Source organism: Homo sapiens, chromosome 19 (genome assembly GCF_000001405.40).
Source record: "Homo sapiens chromosome 19, GRCh38.p14 Primary Assembly".
NCBI lineage: Eukaryota > Metazoa > Chordata > Mammalia > Primates > Hominidae > Homo > Homo sapiens.
The window spans coordinates 10,269,782-10,289,508 of NC_000019.10; the positions used below are offsets into that span (position 1 = coordinate 10,269,782).

A 19,727-nucleotide genomic window follows, 5' to 3' on the forward strand; every position below is an offset into this window, starting at 1 on the left:
AGCCCCCCAAGAAAAAAATATCCCCGTGGAAATTCCTTGGGAATGACCGAGGCGGGGGAAATATGCGTCTCTGGATGGCCAGTGACTCGCAGCCCCCTTCCCCGATAGGAAGGGCCTGCGCGTCCGGGGACCCTTCGCTTCCCCTTCTGCTGCGCGACCTCCCTGGCCCCTCGGAGATCTCCATGGCGACGCCGCGCGCGCCCCACAACAGGAAAGCCTTAGGCGGCGCGGCTTGGTGCTCGGAGACTTAAGAGTACCCAGCCTCGACGTGGTGGATGTCGAGTCTTGGGGTCACACGCACAGGCGGTGGCCAAGCAAACACCCGCTCATATTTAGTGCATGAGCCTGGGTTCGAGTTGCCGGAGCCTCGCGCGTAGGGCAGGGGTTCGAGCGCCCCTTCTCCCTGCCTCGCCTCTGCGCCTGGGGGCTGCTGCCTCAGTTTCCCAGCGACAGGCAGGGATTTCGAGCGTCCCCCTCCCCTCCCTCGTCAAGATCCAAGCTAGCTGCCTCAGTTTCCCCGCGGAGCCTGGGACGCCAGCGGAGGGGCTCGGCGCGTAGGGATCACGCAGCTTCCTTCCTTTTTCTGGGAGCTGTAAAGACGCCTCCGCGGCCAAGGCCGAAAGGGGAAGCGAGGAGGCCGCCGGGGTGAGTGCCCTCGGGTGTAGAGAGAGGACGCCGATTTCCCCGGACGTGGTGAGACCGCGCTTCGTCACTCCCACGGTTAGCGGTCGCCGGGAGGTGCCTGGCTCTGCTCTGGCCGCTTCTCGAGAAATGCCCGTGTCAGCTAGGTGTGGACGTGACCTAGGGGGAGGGGCATCCCTCAGTGGAGGGAGCCCGGGGAGGATTCCTGGGCCCCCACCCAGGCAGGGGGCTCATCCACTCGATTAAAGAGGCCTGCGTAAGCTGGAGAGGGAGGACTTGAGTTCGGACCCCCTCGCAGCCTGGAGTCTCAGTTTACCGCTTTGTGAAATGGACACAATAACAGTCTCCACTCTCCGGGGAAGTTGGCAGTATTTAAAAGTACTTAATAAACCGCTTAGCGCGGTGTAGACCGTGATTCAAGCTTAGCCTGGCCGGGAAACGGGAGGCGTGGAGGCCGGGAGCAGCCCCCGGGGTCATCGCCCTGCCACCGCCGCCCGATTGCTTTAGCTTGGAAATTCCGGAGCTGAAGCGGCCAGCGAGGGAGGATGACCCTCTCGGCCCGGGCACCCTGTCAGTCCGGAAATAACTGCAGCATTTGTTCCGGAGGGGAAGGCGCGAGGTTTCCGGGAAAGCAGCACCGCCCCTTGGCCCCCAGGTGGCTAGCGCTATAAAGGATCACGCGCCCCAGTCGACGCTGAGCTCCTCTGCTACTCAGAGTTGCAACCTCAGCCTCGCTATGGCTCCCAGCAGCCCCCGGCCCGCGCTGCCCGCACTCCTGGTCCTGCTCGGGGCTCTGTTCCCAGGTGAGTCGGGGTGGGGATTGCCGTCGGGCCAGTTCTCCGAAGCCCCGGGAGGACCGGCTCCCGGGTCAGGTCATGCATGCTTAGGTAGCTGTTTATGGGAAGGAGGGGCTAGAGACAGCGATTGAAAGGCAACAGCCAGTAGGTTCGAATCCAGACCCTGCATACCTCCACGTGTGGCCTTGGGCTATAGATTGCAGCTTTAAAAAAGGGTAGGGGGTTGGAGATGGAGGGGAGGGGCGGGCCTCGTTTTGTTGCCCAGGCCGGTCTTGAACTCCGGGGGTCTAGCCTTACCTCCTGCCTCAGCCTCCCGAGTAGCTGGGATGAGAGGTGTGAACCACCGCCTTGCTTGGCTAGATTGCGTCTCTTACAGTTTCTCAGCTGTAAAACGGGAAACGTTATAGCGGCCACCTGGCAGGGTATCTTGGCCCAGCGCAGCACCTGGCCCCAGGACTCGATCATGATGGTTTGGGAACTTGGCTCTGTGCCAACCCAACAAGGCTTAAGGGACCCCCACCCCCCTCAAGATGTATATTCTGTTCCTCATCCTCTCTGCCCCTGGGGAAGTCCAGGGCTGCTTCTACTTGGGGGAATTCCAGAGCTGACTTATCCGTGGCCCAAAGCTGAGAAGTGGGACGCCCCAGCACACCCTCCCCCAGCTCCAGCCCAGCTAGGGAAGAGGGAAGGGGTCAGAGGGTCTTTCATGGTGGTGTAAGTTTGGGGAACCAGGAGGGTGGGAGATTGACAGCTTGGTTAACAGCTCAACAAAGCCTGAGATCCAGGCCAGCACGGTAGTTCATGCCAGTAATCCCAACACTTTAGGAGCCCCAGGCGGGCGAATCACTTAAGGTCAGGAGTTTGAGACCAGCCTGGCCAACATGGCAACATCCCGTCTCTACTAAAAATACAAAAATTAGCTGGCATGGTGGTGGGCGCCTGTGATCCCAGCTGCTCGGGAGGCTGAGGGAGGAAAATCCCTTAAGCCCACGAGGCTGAGGTTGCAGTGAACCAAGATTGTGCCACTGCACTCCAGCCTGGGAGACATAGCGAGATTCTGTCTCAAAAAACAAAGCGTTCTGATCCGGACTCAGACCCAGATCGCACTGCTTTCTAGCTGAGTAACCATTTCTCTCTATGAAATGGGAATGGTCCCAGAATCTCCCTTGGAGAATGTATGGAGCCAGTGTCCTCACACCCCCATCCAAGATAGAACAAATCTGAGACAGGAATCTTTGAGTGAGGCAGTGCTGGGCTCAGACATTTTTTCCCACCTTCGGAGGCAGCAGAATCTGAGGGACCTGATCCAAATAAGCCCCTTCTTTCTTTCTTTTCTTTTCTTTTTTTTTTTTTTTTTTTTTTGAGACGGAGTCTCACTCTGTCGCCCAGGCTGGAGTGCAGTGGCGTGATCTCGGCTCACTGCAACCTCTGCCTCCCAGGTTCAAACGATTCTCCTGCCTCAGCCTCCCTGAGTAGCTGGGACTACAGGCATGTGCCATCACACCCGGCTAATCACTGTGTTAGCCAGGATGGTCTCGATTTCCTGACCTCATGATCTGCCCACCCTGCCTCCCAAAGTGCTGGGATTACATGCGTGAGCCACAGTGCCCACCCCGTAAGCCCCTTCTTTCTTACCTGCAAGGTAGCCAGTTGCTACCCATCCTGTGCTGAGTTACTTGTATTAGCAAGGGATGGGGTGGCTATACTCACCCACCTTACAGATGGGGAAATTGAGGCCCAAAGAGGGGGAAACTACGTGTCTCAGGGAGTGAGGAGCCAGTCTGATTCCTGGAGGGCTGACTGTCTCCACCTGACTTCTTAGGAGGGAGGAGGGCACCAACTTCACATTAAAATCTGGTTGGACACAGTGGCTCACACCTGTAATCCTGGCATTTTGGGAGGCTTAGGCGGGAGGATCACTTGAGGCCAGGAGTTTGAGACCAGCCTTAGCAACATAGTGAGACCCCATCTCTACAAAAATGTTTTTCAGGGCCAGGCGCGGTGGCTCACACCTATAATCCCAGCACTTTGGGAGGCTGAGGCGGGCGGATTACCTGAGGTCAGGAGTTTGAGACCAGCCTGACCAACATGGAGAAACCCCGTCTCTACTAAAAGTACAAAATTACCCGGGCGTGGTGGCGCATGCCTGTAATCCCAGCTACTCGGGAGGCTGAGGCAGGAGAATCGCTTGAACCTGGGAGGCGGAGGTTGCGGTGAACTGAGATCGTGCCATTGCACTCCAGCCTGGGCAACAAGAGCTAAACTCCGTCTCAAAAAAAAAAAAATGTTTTTCAAATATTAGCCGGGTATGGTGGTGTCCTGTAGTCCCAGCTACTTGGGAGGCTGAGATGGGAGGATCACTTGAGCCCAGGAGTTCAAGGTTACAGTGAGCTATGATTGTGCCACTGTATTCCAGCCTGGGTAACAGAGGGAGACCCGTTTAAAAAAAAAAAAGTGATGGCTAAAGTCCTTCCATGGCTCCCTATTGCCCTCAGTATAAAGAACACATGTGGCTGGGCGTGGTGGTTCACGCCTGTAATCCCAGCACTTTGGGAGGCTGAGGCGGGCGGATCACTTGAGGCCAGGAGTTTGAGAGCAGGCTGGCCGACGTGGCGAAACCCCGTCTCTATTAAAAATACAAAAATTAGCTGGGCGTGGTGGTGCTTGCCTGTAATCCCAGATACTCTGGAGGCTGAGGCAGGAGAATCACTTGAACCCGGGAGGCAAAGGTTGCAGTGAGCTGAGATTGCGCCACTGCACTCCAGTCTGAGTGACAAAGCGAGACTCCATCTCAAAAAAAAAAAAAATAAAAGAACACATCTTTAGCATGGCCTTCAGTGCTCACGGGATCTTCCTGAATTAATCTCCCCCTCTTCATCCTTGCTCACTCAGCTCCAGCCACCCTGCCCCGGGACATCTGTACTTGCCTGGAACTTATTTCCCTTTTCTCCGGACAGCCAGCCCTTTCTCGTCATTTAGATCTCTGCTGAAACATTACCCTGTCACCAAAGCACTGTCTATTCTATCACCCTGTTTTGTTTTTGTCAAAGCTCATATTAACATCAGTTATTAATTATCTTGTTTGCTCATAATTTTTTTTTTTTTTTTTTTGGAGACAGAGTCTCGTTCTGTTGCTCAGGCTGGAGTGCAGTGGCACAATCTTGGCTCACTGTAACCTCCACCTCCCAGGTTCAAGTGATTCTTGTGCCTCAGCCTCCCAAATAGCTAGGACTACAGGCACGTCCCACCATGCCCAGCTAATTTTTGTATTTTTAGTGGAGACGGGGCTTTGTCATGTTGGCCAGGCTGATCTCAAATTCCTGACCTCAAGTGATCTGCCCGCCTTGGCCTCCCAAAGTGCTGGGATTACAGGCGTGAGCCACCACACCCGGCCTGCTCATGAATTTTCTCTTTAACTTCCACATCGAAGGCAAAGTATTGTCTTGTTAAGGCTGTGCCTCCAGCACCCAGCACAGGCTGGGCGCACATTCCCTTGATGAACCTGATTTGTAATGCCTGTCGCCTCTTCCCTCGTTTCTTCTAGGACCTGGCAATGCCCAGACATCTGTGTCCCCCTCAAAAGTCATCCTGCCCCGGGGAGGCTCCGTGCTGGTGACATGCAGCACCTCCTGTGACCAGCCCAAGTTGTTGGGCATAGAGACCCCGTTGCCTAAAAAGGAGTTGCTCCTGCCTGGGAACAACCGGAAGGTGTATGAACTGAGCAATGTGCAAGAAGATAGCCAACCAATGTGCTATTCAAACTGCCCTGATGGGCAGTCAACAGCTAAAACCTTCCTCACCGTGTACTGTGAGTAACTGAGCCCGGAGGGCTGGACTAGGCAGACCCGGTGGGAGAGACGTGCAGGGGCACCTGCAGAGGCCTGGGGGAATCTTTGCCACTTGCTCGTAGGGTCAAGGAGGGGCTCCTTGCAGGGCAGGTGGGGACATCCTTGGAAAGTCCCTTTGTGAATTTCTTTGGGTACAATTAAAGTATTTACAGGCTGGGTGCGGTGGCTCATGCCTGTAATCCCAGCACTTTGAGAGGCTGAGGCTGGCGGATCACCTGAGATCAGGAGTTTAAGTTTCGCCAACATGGCGAAACCCTGTCTCTGCTGAAAATACAAAAATCAGCCGGGCATGGTGTCAAGCGCCTGTAATCCCAGCTACTTGGAAGGCTGAGGCAGGAGAACGCTTGAACCTGAGAGGCAGAGATTGCAGTGAGCCGCGATCGTGCCAGTGCACTCCAGTCTGGATAACAGAGCAAGATTCCATCTCAAGAAAAAAAAAATGCCATCTCTCTATGCCTCACTCTTTGAACATATGACACGGTCCTGCTTCAGACACTTTAATAAAAGATGCAAATTAAGCCAAGTGTGGTGGCTTGTACCTATAATCCCAACTACTCCAGAGGCTGAGGCAGAAGGATGGTTTGAGCCCAGGAGTTTGAGACCAGCCTGGGCAACAGAGTGAGACCCTGTTTCTTTCTTTTTTTTTTTTTTTTTTTTGAGACGGAGTCTCACTCTGTCGCCCAGGCTGGAGTGCAGTGGTGTGATCTCGGCTCACTGCAAGCTCCGCCTCCCGGGTTCACGCCATTCTCCTGCCTCAGCCTCCCGAGTAGCTGGGACTACAGGCGCCTGCCACCATGCCCGGCTCATTTTTTTGTATTTTTAGTAGAGACGGGGTTTCACTGTGTTAGCCAGGATGGTCTCAATCTCCTGACCTAGTGGTCCGCCCGCCTCGGCCTCCCAAAGTGCTGGGATTACAGGTGTAAGCCACTGTGCCCATCCAAGACCCTGTTTCTACCGGAAAAAAAAAGTAAATAATTTAGCTGGGCATCGTGGTGTGCACCTGTAATCCCAGCTGCTCCTGAGGCTGTGATGGGAGGATTGCTTTAACCCAGGGGTTCGAATCCTAGGAGTTCGAATCCATCCTAGGCAACATAGCAAAACCCCATTTTTATTTAAAAAAAAAAAAAAAGATATGAGTTAAAACTAGCCCTGGGATGGCATTTTTCACATATTGGTAACAAACAAAAGAATTGATGGCCGGGCGCAGTGGCTCACGCCTGTAATCCCAGCACTTTGGGAGGCCGAGGCGGGCGGATCACAAGGTCAGGAGATCGAGACCATCCTGGCTAACATGGTGAAACCCCGTCTCTACTAAAACTACAAAAAATTAGCCGGGCATGGTGGCAGGCGCCTGTGGTCCCAGCTACTCAGGAGGCTGAGGCAGGAGAATGGCATGAACCCGGGAGGCAGAGCTTGCAGTGAGCCAAGATCGTGCCACTGCACTCCAGCCTGGGCGACAGAGCAAGACTCCATCTCAAAAAAAAAAAAAAAAAAAAGAATTGATAACAGCTGTGCTGCCAAGGCTATTGGAACGTAGGAGGTCCTAGGACAGTGCTGTTGGGAGCATAAATAAGCCCAACCCTGTGGCGGGAAATTGGGCATCAGTTCTCAAAATGTCATGGGCTGGGCACGGTGGCTCACGCCTGTAATCCCAGCACTTTGGGAGGCTGAGGGAGGCGGATCACTTGAGGTCAGGAGTTCGAGACCAGCCTGACCACCATGGAGAAACCCCGTCTCTATTAAAAATACAAAAAAAACTAGCCAGGCATAGTGGCACATACCTGTAATCCCAGCTACTCGGGAGGCTGAGGCAGGAGAATCTCTTGAAACTGGGAGGCAGAGGTTGCGGTGAGCTGAGATTGCGCCACTGCACTCCAGCTTGGGCAACAAGAGCAAAACTCCATCTCAAAAAAAAAAAAAAAAGAAATAAAAGAAGGTATGTTGAATATGAGTGGTATGCCACCCTCACATTAGGGAAGGGCAGTTTCGGGGAGGCTGTATTTATGTATAAAATAGCCCTAAAAGGAAGTGGGAGAAATGACAATATTAGCTGGCTATGAGAAGAGAGGCTGGGAGGCTGTGGGAGAGGGCTTGGGTGTGGAGAATTCTTTTTGTTTTTTCCTTTTTTTGAGACAGAGTTTCACTCTTGTTGCCCAGGCTGGAGTGCAATGGCACGATCTCAGCTCACCGCAACCTTCACCTCCTGAGTTTAAGTGATTCTCCGGCCTCAGCCTCCCGACTAGCTGGGATTACAGGCATGGGCCACTACGCCTGGCAAATTTTGTATTTTTAGTAGAGACAGGGTTTCTCCATGTTGGTCAGGCTGGTCTTGAACTCTGACCTCAGGTGATCCGCCCGCCTCGGCCTCCCAAAGTGCTGGGATTACAACGTGAGCCACTTTGCCTGGCTGAGAATTCTTTTTTTGTTGTTGTCTTTTTGAGATGGAGTTTTGCTGTGTCCCCAGCCTGGAGTGCAATGGTGTAATCTCAGCTCACTGCAACCTCTCCCTCCCGGGTTCAAGCAATTCTCCTGCCTCAGCCTCCCAAGTAGCTGGAATTACAGGCGCCCAGCACCACGCCCGGCTAATTTTTGTATTTTTAGTAGAGACGGGATTTCATCATGTTGGCCAGGCTGGTCTTGATCTCCTGACCTTGTGATCTGCCCGCCTCGGCCTCCCAAAGTGCTGGGATTACAGGCGTGAGCCACTGCCCCCAGCCGAGAATTTCTCTTTGCGTCCTTCCTACTTTGGGGACTTCGAATGGTGGGAAAGAGTTATCAAGGCCAAAATAAGGAATTCAAATGAAAACAAAACAAAATCAAAGAAGAAAAAACAGAAGAGCACTGGGCAGGCTAGGCACGTGGCTCATGCCTATAATCCCAGTGATTTAGAAGGCCGAAGTAGAAGGATCGCTTGGAGGCCAGGAGTTGGACACCAGCCTGGGCAACATAGCAAGACCCCATATCTACAAAAAATAAAAAACCTAACCAAGCGTGCTGGCATACTAGTAGTCCCAGCTACTCAGGAGGCTGAGGTGGGAGGATCACCTGAGCCTGGGAGGTCCAGGCTGTAGTGAGCCGTGATGACACCACTGCACTCCAGCCTGGGTGACAGAGAAAGACCCTGTCTCTAAAAAATAAAAACTGGCCAAGTAGCTTTGGGATTAGCCTTGGGTTCCAGTCCCAGCAAGGCCTTTAATAGCTTGGGACATGACTTCTGCATTTACTTTGCAATCAGGTGAGACCTCCTCTGATGGGGAAAATGACACGGTGAGTGACAAAGGATGTTCTCCTATCATTGTGTCAGGGCAAGGAAGCCTCTGGGTAAATGATCAAATGATCAGCTTTGCTTCTGATTTGGAGGGTGGGTGAGCAGATGCTGACCTTCCCAGGTGAGGGAAGTCCCCGAACATTCCCAGCAGCTTCTGGAAACCCCAGGGAAACCTCTTTGAAGGTCTTTTCTGCATCTCTGCCTGATAGGTCTTTTTTTTTTTTTTTTTTTTTTTCTTTTTTTTGACACACAGTCTTGCTCTGTCGCCCAGGCTGGATCACTGCAACCTCCATCTCCCGGGTTCAAGCAGTTCTCCTGCCTCATCCTCTCCAGTAGCTGGGATTACAGGCACCTGGCACCACGCCTGGCTAATTTTTGTATTTTTAGTAGAGACAGGGTTTCGCCAAGTTGGCCAGGCTGGTCTCGAACTCTAGACCTCTGGTGATCCACCCGCCTCAGCCTCCCGAAGTGCTGGGATTACAGGCTTGAGCCACCACGCGCGGCTCTGCCTGATAGCTGAGAGCATAGAACTCCAGGTTTGAGACCTGGCTCTGCCACATTTCTCCCTCTATGACTGTGGGTGCCCCACTTTGCCTTAGTTTTTACCTCTGTGAAATGGAGCAGATGGCTGGCACAGGTAGCAAAGGAGTAAAAGTTATGTGGGAGGGTGGTACCTGAGAGAGACTCTAGCTTGGTCTTGCCCCACCCCTGGTGTAAACATAAAGAAGCCTCCCTGGATGGCTCAATCTTCTCCAAAAAGGTTAGAGGTGTAATTCCTAGAGGAGGCGACCACTAGCTGGGCTTTGAAGGATGTGTAGGAGTTCATAAGGACAGGCATTCTGGGCAGGAGGAACAGCCTGGGCAAAAGTTGGGAGCAGGGAGAAATCTTGATGGAGGCAGGAGGAGGAGGAGGTAGGTTGGTGTAGGCCAGGTGCAGTGGCTCACACCTGTAATCCCAGTGCTTTGGGAGGCCAAAGCAAGAGGATTGTTTGAGCCCAGGAGTTCGAGACCAGCCTGGGCAACATAGCGAGACCCTGTCTCTAAGAAAAAATAAAAAAATTAGGGTACAGTGGCATATGCTTGTATTCTCAACTACTCTGGAGGCTCAAGTGGGAGGATCACTTGAACCCAGGAATTTTTTTGTTTTTGTTTTTGTTTTTTTGAGATGGAGTCTCACTCTGTGGCCCAGGCTGGAGTGCAGTGGTGCCATCTTGGCTCACTGCAGCCTCCTCCACCTCCTGGGTTCAACCGATTCTGCTGCCTGAGCCTCCCGAGTTGCTGGGATTAAGGTGCCCACCATCATGCCCAGCTAATTTTTTTGTATTTTTAGTAGAGATAGGGTTTACCATGTTAGCCAGGCTGGTCTTGAACGCCTGACCGCAAGAGATCCTCCTGCCTCAGTTTCCCAAAGTGCTGGGATTATAGGTGTGAGCCACTGAGCCTGGTCAAGCCCAGGAATTTGAGGTTACAGTCAGCTATGATTGCACCACTGCATTCCAGCCCAGGTGACAGAGAGAGACACTGCCCCTAAAAAAAAAAAAAAAATTGATTGATGGGAGGAAGGGTGAGGTTGGCAGAGCCTTGAATGCCAGGTGGAGGAGCTGGGACTTTCCTTCTTGGGGTGATAGGGAGTCATGGAGGGTTTCTGAGCAGGCCAGGGATTAGATAGCTGAAGGCTGGATTTACTGGAAGCCAATGAGCAGTTGGCTATGGTCCTTGTCCACGCGGCCCATGTTGTGGGCAGTGACCGTATTCAAGAAGGGAAGGACAGACAAGTATTTGAATACTTCAGTGACCAGGATTTGGTAAAGGACTGCAGGTCAGGGTCAAGAAGAGGTGAGAGCAGGACAGACTTCCTCCCCGCTGCACCAGGCAGCTGAGCTGGGTTTCCTCTAGGGGCTGAGGTTTGAGGGTACCTCAAGTTCTGCAAGAGTCTATAGGAGGTGGTAAGAGAGAAGAGCTGGAGGTCAGAGTTTTCTTGACTATATATATATATATTTTTTTGTTTTTGTTTTTAACAGCTTAACAGCTTTCTGTTTTATTTTTAGAGACAGGGTCTCAGGGTCTCACTTTGTCACCCAGGCTGGAGTGCAGTGGTACAATCGTAGCTGACTGCAGCCTCAAACTCCCAGGCTCAAGAAATCCTCCTCCCACCCTTAGCCTCCTGAGTAGCAGGGACTACAGGTGTGAGCCAGCAGGAAGCCCAGCTGGTTTTTTTTTTTTCTTTGGTGTTTTTTGTTTGTTTGTTTGAGACCGGAGTTTCGCTCTTATTGCCCAGGCTGAAGTGCAATGGCAGGATCTTAGCTCACCACAACCTCCGACCCCCAGGATCAAGCTATTCTCTTGCCTCAGCCACCTGAGTAGCTGGGATTACAGGCATGCGACACCACACAAGGCTAATTTTGTATTTTTAGTAAAGACAGGGTTTCTCCATGTTGGTCAGGCTGGTCTCGAACTCCCAACCTCAGATGATCCACCTGCCTCGGCCTCCCAAAGTGCTGAGATTACAGGCATGAGCCACCGTGCCCGGCCTTTTTTTTTTTTTTTTTTTTTTTGAGACAGAGTCTCACTCTGTCGCCCAGGCAGGAGTGCAGTGGTTCGATCTGGGCTCACTGCAAGCTCCGCCTCCCGGGTTCACTCCATCCTCCTGCCTTAGCCTCCTGAGTAGCTGGGACTACAGGCGCCCACCACCACGCCTGGCTAATTTTTTGTATTTTTAGTAGAGACGGGGTTTCACCGTGTTAGCCAGGATGGTCTTGATCTCCTGACCTCGTGATCCGCCCGCCTTGGCCTCCCAAAGTGCTGGGATTACAGGCGTGAGCCACCATGTCTGGCCTGGCCAGGCTGGTCTTGAACTCCTGACTTCCGGTGATCCATCTGTTCTGGCCTCCCAAAGTGCTGGGATTACAGGCATAAGCCACCACGCCATGCCGAAGCCCAGCTTGTTTTTAATTTTTTTTTTTTTTTTTGGAGAAATGAGGTCTTGCAATGTTGCCCAAGCTAGCCTTGAACTCCTGGCCTCAAATGACCCCGCCTTGGCATCCCAAAGTACTGGGATTACAGATGTGAGCCACCATGCCCCAGCCTTGCTTTCTTGAGATACGATTTAGAATACCATAAGATTCATCCCTTTTAAGCACATAATTCAATGACTTCTGTACAAACAACCATGACTACAATCTAATTTTAAAATATTTCAATCACTCTAAAAAAGAAACCTCCTGCTTATGTACAGCGACTCTGTCTACCTCTTAAGTGAATTCTCCTACCTTTAATAGCCCTATTTTACAGTTCAGGAAACTGAGGTTCAGAGAGACAAAGTCACTTACCCACAGCAAAGAAGCAAGGCTGGGTATCAAATGCAGGACCCCCCCGGTCCTGATGCTTTTTTTTTTTTTTTTTTTTTCCTCTGAGAGAGACTCTCACTCTGTCACTCAGTCTAGAGTACAGTGGCGCGATCTCAGTTCACTGCAATCTCTGCCTCCTGGGCTGAAGTAATCCTTTCCTCACAAGTAAACCTCAGCCTCTCAAGTAGCTGGGACTACAGGCACACAACACCACGCCTGGCTAATTTTTGTATTTTTAGGTAGAGACGGGGTTTCACTATATTGGCCAGGCTGGTCTTGAACTCCTGACCTCAGGTGATCCGCCTGCCTCGGCCCCCCAAAGTGTTGGGATTACAGGCGTGAGCCACCACACGCAGCCTTTTTGTTATTAGACTCTGTCATTACTGACTTTTTTTTTTTTTTAATAGAAACAGGGTCTTTCTTTCCCAGGCTAAAGTACAGTGGCATGATCACAGTTCACTATAGCCTTAAACTCCTGGGCTCAAGTGATCCTCCTGCCTCAGCCTCCCAAGTAGCAGGGACTACAGGTGTGCACCACCACACCCAGTTAACCATTCATTCATTCATTCATTCATTTATTTTGAGATGGAGTCTCGCTCTGTCACCTAGGCTGGAGTGCAGTGGCACGATCTCAGCTCACTGCAACCTCCACCTCCCAGGTTCAAGAGATTCTCCTGCCTCAGCCTCCCGAGTAGCTGAGACTACAGGCGTGCACCACCATGCCAGACTAATTTTTGTATTTTTAATAGAGACGGGGTTTCACTCTGTTGGTCAGGCTTATCTCGAACTCCTGACTTCGTGGATCCACCCTCCTTGGCCTCCCAAAGTGCTGGGATTAAAGGCGTGAGCCACCGCGCCCTGCCAACCTTTTTTTAATTTTTCTTAGAGATGGGGGTCTCCCTATGTTGCCCAGGCTTGTCTTGAACTCCTGGCCTCAAGTGACCCTCTTGCCTTGGCCTCACAAAGTGCTAGGATTACAGCCTGAGCCATCACACCTGGCCAACAGGTTTTTTTTTTTGTTTTGTTTTGTTTTTTAAAGAATGTCTAGGCCAGGCTCATTTACTTTCACCTGTAATCCCAGCACTTTGGGAGGCCGGGGTGGGCAGATCACTTGAGGTCAGGAATTCGAGACCAGCCTGGGCAACATGCTGAAACCCCGTTTCTACTAAAAATACAAAAATTAGCTGGGTGTGGTGACACGTGCCTGTAATCCCAGCTACTCAGGAGGTTGAGGCAGGAGAATTGCTTGAACCCAGGAGGCAGAGGTTGCAGTGAGCCAAGATCATGCCATCACCCTCCAGCCTGGGCGACAGAAGGAGACTCAGTCTAAAAACTTAATTAATTAATTAATTAAAAATAAAAATACAAAAATTAACCTGGTGTGGTGGTGTGTGCCTGTAATCTAAGCTACTCAGGAGGCTGAGGCAGGAGAATCCCCTGAATCCCAGAGGCAGAGGTTGCAGTGAGCCAAGATCGAGCCACTGTTTGCCCAGTCTAGTGCACTGGGCTGCTGAATTTATTTGACCAGACACCTAGCAATAGACTTTGAAGTTCTTTTCCACTTTTCACTCTAAGATGCTGCTGTCATGAATAAGGAATATTTTGATCCCCTTCACAAACACTCGGGGCCCTCTTACCAGTTTTCACTGAAGATCTTGACATTCCTATCTGCTTAGGTGTCTGGGCGTGTTTGGGGGAGATACTGAAGAGGTAGGGCTCCCAGGCAGGTGCAGTTCGTCTGTTAGGCAGGCAGCAAGGTCCACTTCACCAGACACCCCCACCTCTGTTTTCCTGCAGGGACTCCAGAACGGGTGGAACTGGCACCCCTCCCCTCTTGGCAGCCAGTGGGCAAGAACCTTACCCTACGCTGCCAGGTGGAGGGTGGGGCACCCCGGGCCAACCTCACCGTGGTGCTGCTCCGTGGGGAGAAGGAGCTGAAACGGGAGCCAGCTGTGGGGGAGCCCGCTGAGGTCACGACCACGGTGCTGGTGAGGAGAGATCACCATGGAGCCAATTTCTCGTGCCGCACTGAACTGGACCTGCGGCCCCAAGGGCTGGAGCTGTTTGAGAACACCTCGGCCCCCTACCAGCTCCAGACCTTTGGTGAGGATTGAAGAAGCCAGCAGGGAGAAGGTGGGGGTGGGGTATCCTGCAATGCGGTGCCTGTGGCCACAGGATCTTTTGAGATGGGTGTGGCCCCGGCTAAGGGGTGCATGTGTTCTAGGCGTATGTGACCTAGGCTGCTGAGTGGCCCTGGAAGAGGATCTCGCAGGAGGGGGAATGAAATGCCCCAGAGAAGGGCTTCGGGACGTCCATCCCTGTCTGCTCACACCTTTCTTCTCTCCCTAGTCCTGCCAGCGACTCCCCCACAACTTGTCAGCCCCCGGGTCCTAGAGGTGGACACGCAGGGGACCGTGGTCTGTTCCCTGGACGGGCTGTTCCCAGTCTCGGAGGCCCAGGTCCACCTGGCACTGGGGGACCAGAGGTTGAACCCCACAGTCACCTATGGCAACGACTCCTTCTCGGCCAAGGCCTCAGTCAGTGTGACCGCAGAGGACGAGGGCACCCAGCGGCTGACGTGTGCAGTAATACTGGGGAACCAGAGCCAGGAGACACTGCAGACAGTGACCATCTACAGTAAGAAGGGGCAGGGGCGGAGTGGGGCTTCTTGGGGGTGTGACCTGAACCCGGGGCGGGGCTCACTGTGTGCCTATTCCAGGCTTTCCGGCGCCCAACGTGATTCTGACGAAGCCAGAGGTCTCAGAAGGGACCGAGGTGACAGTGAAGTGTGAGGCCCACCCTAGAGCCAAGGTGACGCTGAATGGGGTTCCAGCCCAGCCACTGGGCCCGAGGGCCCAGCTCCTGCTGAAGGCCACCCCAGAGGACAACGGGCGCAGCTTCTCCTGCTCTGCAACCCTGGAGGTGGCCGGCCAGCTTATACACAAGAACCAGACCCGGGAGCTTCGTGTCCTGTGTGAGTGGGGCTGCTGGTCAATGGCCCCTATCCCCCAAGGCCCAATCTCCCTGAAGGTCCCATAAGGTCTTGCCTCCAAGTCCTGCCCCCACCCACCTCCATGTCATCTCATCGTGTTTTTCCAGATGGCCCCCGACTGGACGAGAGGGATTGTCCGGGAAACTGGACGTGGCCAGAAAATTCCCAGCAGACTCCAATGTGCCAGGCTTGGGGGAACCCATTGCCCGAGCTCAAGTGTCTAAAGGATGGCACTTTCCCACTGCCCATCGGGGAATCAGTGACTGTCACTCGAGATCTTGAGGGCACCTACCTCTGTCGGGCCAGGAGCACTCAAGGGGAGGTCACCCGCAAGGTGACCGTGAATGTGCTCTGTGAGTGAGCCGGCGGGCAGAGCTGGGTGGGGGCAGGGGCCATGGACCTAATGCAATCCTCACCGCCTGTTGTATCCTCCCCACAGCCCCCCGGTATGAGATTGTCATCATCACTGTGGTAGCAGCCGCAGTCATAATGGGCACTGCAGGCCTCAGCACGTACCTCTATAACCGCCAGCGGAAGATCAAGAAATACAGACTACAACAGGCCCAAAAAGGGACCCCCATGAAACCGAACACACAAGCCACGCCTCCCTGAACCTATCCCGGGACAGGGCCTCTTCCTCGGCCTTCCCATATTGGTGGCAGTGGTGCCACACTGAACAGAGTGGAAGACATATGCCATGCAGCTACACCTACCGGCCCTGGGACGCCGGAGGACAGGGCATTGTCCTCAGTCAGATACAACAGCATTTGGGGCCATGGTACCTGCACACCTAAAACACTAGGCCACGCATCTGATCTGTAGTCACATGACTAAGCCAAGAGGAAGGAGCAAGACTCAAGACATGATTGATGGATGTTAAAGTCTAGCCTGATGAGAGGGGAAGTGGTGGGGGAGACATAGCCCCACCATGAGGACATACAACTGGGAAATACTGAAACTTGCTGCCTATTGGGTATGCTGAGGCCCCACAGACTTACAGAAGAAGTGGCCCTCCATAGACATGTGTAGCATCAAAACACAAAGGCCCACACTTCCTGACGGATGCCAGCTTGGGCACTGCTGTCTACTGACCCCAACCCTTGATGATATGTATTTATTCATTTGTTATTTTACCAGCTATTTATTGAGTGTCTTTTATGTAGGCTAAATGAACATAGGTCTCTGGCCTCACGGAGCTCCCAGTCCTAATCACATTCAAGGTCACCAGGTACAGTTGTACAGGTTGTACACTGCAGGAGAGTGCCTGGCAAAAAGATCAAATGGGGCTGGGACTTCTCATTGGCCAACCTGCCTTTCCCCAGAAGGAGTGATTTTTCTATCGGCACAAAAGCACTATATGGACTGGTAATGGTTACAGGTTCAGAGATTACCCAGTGAGGCCTTATTCCTCCCTTCCCCCCAAAACTGACACCTTTGTTAGCCACCTCCCCACCCACATACATTTCTGCCAGTGTTCACAATGACACTCAGCGGTCATGTCTGGACATGAGTGCCCAGGGAATATGCCCAAGCTATGCCTTGTCCTCTTGTCCTGTTTGCATTTCACTGGGAGCTTGCACTATGCAGCTCCAGTTTCCTGCAGTGATCAGGGTCCTGCAAGCAGTGGGGAAGGGGGCCAAGGTATTGGAGGACTCCCTCCCAGCTTTGGAAGCCTCATCCGCGTGTGTGTGTGTGTGTATGTGTAGACAAGCTCTCGCTCTGTCACCCAGGCTGGAGTGCAGTGGTGCAATCATGGTTCACTGCAGTCTTGACCTTTTGGGCTCAAGTGATCCTCCCACCTCAGCCTCCTGAGTAGCTGGGACCATAGGCTCACAACACCACACCTGGCAAATTTGATTTTTTTTTTTTTTCCAGAGACGGGGTCTCGCAACATTGCCCAGACTTCCTTTGTGTTAGTTAATAAAGCTTTCTCAACTGCCTCAGCCTTGTGTGAGTTGAGGGGAGGTGTCACATCCAGCTGGAGTCCTTTCTAAGCAGCCACAGCCTGATCCTCCCACTTCCTCCCCCAAGAAAACATTGTGGGTTGATGGCCATACCCTGAGGTTCTGGTCCAAATCGGACTTTCTATGACCTTCTGGGTCTCTAGTGAAAACTAAAGACTCCTCTCCAGAAAAAAACATTTGGTTTCTAATGAGGCCTGGAATCTTATTCTTGACCTGGGGAGCGGAATCCCTTTTTGCAGTACTCCCGGGCCCTCTGTTGGGGCCTCCCCTTCCTCTCCAGGGTGGAGTCGAGGAGGCGGGGCTGCGGGCCTCCTTATCTCTAGAGCCGGCCCTGGCTCTCTGGCGCGGGGCCCCTTAGTCCGGGCTTTTTGCCATGGGGTCTCTGTTCCCTCTGTCGCTGCTGTTTTTTTTGGCGGCCGCCTACCCGGGAGTTGGGAGCGCGCTGGGACGCCGGACTAAGCGGGCGCAAAGCCCCAAGGGTAGCCCTCTCGCGCCCTCCGGGACCTCAGTGCCCTTCTGGGTGCGCATGAGCCCGGAGTTCGTGGCTGTGCAGCCGGGGAAGTCAGTGCAGCTCAATTGCAGCAACAGCTGTCCCCAGCCGCAGAATTCCAGCCTCCGCACCCCGCTGCGGCAAGGCAAGACGCTCAGAGGGCCGGGTTGGGTGTCTTACCAGCTGCTCGACGTGAGGGCCTGGAGCTCCCTCGCGCACTGCCTCGTGACCTGCGCAGGAAAAACACGCTGGGCCACCTCCAGGATCACCGCCTACAGTGAGGGACAGGGGCTCGGTCCCGGCTGGGGTGAGGGGAGGGGGCTGGAAGAGGTGGGGGAAGGGTAGTTGACAGTCGCTCTATAGGGAGCGCCCGCGGACCTCACTCAGAGGCTCCCCCTTGCCTTAGAACCGCCCCACAGCGTGATTTTGGAGCCTCCGGTCTTAAAGGGCAGGAAATACACTTTGCGCTGCCACGTGACGCAGGTGTTCCCGGTGGGCTACTTGGTGGTGACCCTGAGGCATGGAAGCCGGGTCATCTATTCCGAAAGCCTGGAGCGCTTCACCGGCCTGGATCTGGCCAACGTGACCTTGACCTACGAGTTTGCTGCTGGACCCCGCGACTTCTGGCAGCCCGTGATCTGCCACGCGCGCCTCAATCTCGACGGCCTGGTGGTCCGCAACAGCTCGGCACCCATTACACTGATGCTCGGTGAGGCACCCCTGTAACCCTGGGGACTAGGAGGAAGGGGGCAGAGAGAGTTATGACCCCGAGAGGGCGCACAGACCAAGCGTGAGCTCCACGCGGGTCGACAGACCTCCCTGTGTTCCGTTCCTAATTCTCGCCTTCTGCTCCCAGCTTGGAGCCCCGCGCCCACAGCTTTGGCCTCCGGTTCCATCGCTGCCCTTGTAGGGATCCTCCTCACTGTGGGCGCTGCGTACCTATGCAAGTGCCTAGCTATGAAGTCCCAGGCGTAAAGGGGGATGTTCTATGCCGGCTGAGCGAGAAAAAGAGGAATATGAAACAATCTGGGGAAATGGCCATACATGGTGGCTGACGCCTGTAATCCCAGCACTTTGGGAGGCCGAGGCAGGAGAATCGCTTGAGCCCAGGAGTTCGAGACCAGCCTGGACAACATAGTGAGACCCCGTCTATGCAAAAAATACACAAATTAGCCTGGTGTGGTGGCCCGCACCTGTGGTCCCAGCTACCCGGGAGGCTGAGTTGGGAGGATCCTTTGAGCCCTGAAAGTCGAGGTTGCAGTGAGCCTTGATCGTGCCACTGCACTCCAGCCTGGGGGACAGAGCACGACCCTGTCTCCAAAAATAAAATAAAAATAAAAATAAATATTGGCGGGGGAACCCTCTGGAATCAATAAAGGCTTCCTTAACCAGCCTCTGTCCTGTGACCTAAGGGTCCGCATTACTGCCCTTCTTCGGAGGAACTGGTTTGTTTTTGTTGTTGTTGTTGTTTTTGCGATCACTTTCTCCAAGTTCCTTGTCTCCCTGAGGGCACCTGAGGTTTCCTCACTCAGGGCCCACCTGGGGTCCCGAAGCCCCAGACTCTGTGTATCCCCAGCGGGTGTCACAGAAACCTCTCCTTCTGCTGGCCTTATCGAGTGGGATCAGCGCGGGCCGGGGAGAGCCACGGGCAGGGGCGGGGTGGGGTTCATGGTATGGCTTTCCTGATTGGCGCCGCCGCCACCACGCGGCAGCTCTGATTGGATGTTAAGTTTCCTATCCCAGCCCCACCTTCAGACCCTGTGCTTTCCTGGAGGCCAAACAACTGTGGAGCGAGAACTCATCTCCAAAATAACTTACCACGCTGGAGTGAGACCACGAATGGTGGGGAGGGGAGGGTCCCACGGACATATTGAGGGACGTGGATACGCAGAAGAGGTATCCATGTGGTGGCAGCCGGGAAGGGGTGATCAGATGGTCCACAGGGAATATCACAAACTCGAATTCTGACGATGTTCTGGTAGTCACCCAGCCAGATGAGCGCATGGAGTTGGGGGTGGGGGGTGTCAAAGCTTGGGGCCCGGAAGCGGAGTCAAAAGCATCACCCTCGGTCCCTTGTTCTCGCGTGGATGTCAGGGCCCCCACCCACCGAGCAGAAGGCGGACTCAGGGGCGCTCCAGGGTGGCTCGAGCTCACACACGCTGAGTAGACACGTGCCCGCTGCACCCTGGGTAAATACAGACCCGGAGCCGAGCGGATTCTAATTTAGACGCCCGCGAACGCTGCGCGCACGCACACGTGTCCTCGGCTCGCTGGCACTTTCGTCCCGCCCCCTCCGTCGCGTGCGGGAGCTGACCCGGAGGGGTGCTTAGAGGTATGGCTCCGCGGGGTCAAAAGGAGAAGGATCAGTGAGAGAGGCAT

The 19,727-nt window shown here is 53.8% G+C and overlaps 2 protein-coding genes and 2 long non-coding RNA genes across 6 annotated transcripts in view, besides 6 other annotated features; 2 read left to right on the forward strand and 2 right to left on the reverse strand.

Annotated features, from left to right (window-relative positions):
* The window catches only part of LIMASI (lncRNA inflammatory and mucous response associated, antisense to ICAM1), a 23,441-nt gene extending 9,772 nt beyond the window's left edge, over positions 1–13,669 (reverse strand). For both annotated transcript variants that reach the window (XR_007067138.1, XR_007067137.1), the window contains exon 1: positions 13,540–13,669. This is a non-coding gene — a long non-coding RNA (lncRNA inflammatory and mucous response associated, antisense to ICAM1). The remainder of the gene's footprint in view (positions 1–13,539) is intronic.
* Positions 901–990: an enhancer, noted in NCBI's record as "active region_13952". NCBI's record gives its function as "activates an Ori minimal core promoter by ATAC-STARR-seq in GM12878 lymphoblastoid cells {active_cell/tissue: GM12878}" and the evidence as "EXISTENCE:reporter gene assay evidence [ECO:0000049][PMID:35858748]".
* ICAM1 (intercellular adhesion molecule 1) lies at positions 1,339–16,834 on the forward strand. The gene is made up of 7 exons (NM_000201.3): positions 1,339–1,445; positions 4,984–5,247; positions 13,700–14,005; positions 14,252–14,539; positions 14,622–14,876; positions 15,002–15,247; positions 15,334–16,834. Exons 1-7 carry the CDS (start codon positions 1,379–1,381, stop codon positions 15,504–15,506), a joined length of 1,599 nt encoding a protein of 532 aa, NP_000192.2. The 5' UTR covers positions 1,339–1,378; the 3' UTR covers positions 15,507–16,834.
* Positions 1,901–2,140: an enhancer, noted in NCBI's record as "active region_13953". NCBI's record gives its function as "activates an Ori minimal core promoter by ATAC-STARR-seq in GM12878 lymphoblastoid cells {active_cell/tissue: GM12878}" and the evidence as "EXISTENCE:reporter gene assay evidence [ECO:0000049][PMID:35858748]".
* ICAM4-AS1 (ICAM4 antisense RNA 1) lies at positions 16,020–19,238 on the reverse strand. The gene has a single exon (NR_186335.1). It is a non-coding gene; the product is annotated as an ICAM4 antisense RNA 1 (long non-coding RNA).
* Positions 16,742–16,791: an enhancer, noted in NCBI's record as "active region_13954". NCBI's record gives its function as "activates an Ori minimal core promoter by ATAC-STARR-seq in GM12878 lymphoblastoid cells {active_cell/tissue: GM12878}" and the evidence as "EXISTENCE:reporter gene assay evidence [ECO:0000049][PMID:35858748]".
* Positions 16,846–17,815: an enhancer, noted in NCBI's record as "H3K27ac-H3K4me1 hESC enhancer chr19:10397303-10398272 (GRCh37/hg19 assembly coordinates)". NCBI's record gives its function as "activates a minimal SCP1, AML or CMV promoter by ChIP-STARR-seq in primed H9 embryonic stem cells {active_cell/tissue: H9 hESC(primed)}" and the evidence as "EXISTENCE:reporter gene assay evidence [ECO:0000049][PMID:30033119]".
* Positions 17,162–17,301: an enhancer, noted in NCBI's record as "active region_13955". NCBI's record gives its function as "activates an Ori minimal core promoter by ATAC-STARR-seq in GM12878 lymphoblastoid cells {active_cell/tissue: GM12878}" and the evidence as "EXISTENCE:reporter gene assay evidence [ECO:0000049][PMID:35858748]".
* ICAM4 (intercellular adhesion molecule 4 (Landsteiner-Wiener blood group)) lies at positions 17,174–18,739 on the forward strand. Of its 2 annotated transcripts, none has more exons than NM_001544.5 (3): positions 17,174–17,625; positions 17,755–18,057; positions 18,205–18,739. In NM_001544.5, exons 1-3 carry the CDS (start codon positions 17,232–17,234, stop codon positions 18,321–18,323), a joined length of 816 nt encoding a protein of 271 aa, NP_001535.1. In that variant the 5' UTR covers positions 17,174–17,231; the 3' UTR covers positions 18,324–18,739. The 2 variants fall into 2 exon arrangements, with proteins under 2 accessions (NP_001535.1, NP_001034221.1); NM_001039132.3 differs by having other exon boundaries at positions 17,832–18,057.
* Positions 19,026–19,095: a silencer, noted in NCBI's record as "silent region_10061". NCBI's record gives its function as "represses an Ori minimal core promoter by ATAC-STARR-seq in GM12878 lymphoblastoid cells {active_cell/tissue: GM12878}" and the evidence as "EXISTENCE:reporter gene assay evidence [ECO:0000049][PMID:35858748]".

Excerpts from the sequence above, each read along its gene's own strand:
- ICAM4 (NM_001039132.3), top strand. The coding sequence starts at position 17,232 with ATGGGGTCTCTGTTCCCTCTGTCGCTGCTGTTTTTTTTGGCGGCCGCC. Across the intron at positions 17,626-17,831 it reads CTCCAGGATCACCGCCTACA|GTGTTCCCGGTGGGCTACTT; the intron begins GTGAGGGACAGG and ends CACGTGACGCAG. Across the intron at positions 18,058-18,204 it reads ACCCATTACACTGATGCTCG|CTTGGAGCCCCGCGCCCACA; the intron begins GTGAGGCACCCC and ends TTCTGCTCCCAG.
- ICAM1 (NM_000201.3), top strand. The coding sequence starts at position 1,379 with ATGGCTCCCAGCAGCCCCCGGCCCGCGCTGCCCGCACTCCTGGTCCTG. Across the intron at positions 5,248-13,699 it reads AACCTTCCTCACCGTGTACT|GGACTCCAGAACGGGTGGAA; the intron begins GTGAGTAACTGA and ends GTTTTCCTGCAG. Across the intron at positions 14,540-14,621 it reads GCAGACAGTGACCATCTACA|GCTTTCCGGCGCCCAACGTG; the intron begins GTAAGAAGGGGC and ends TGCCTATTCCAG.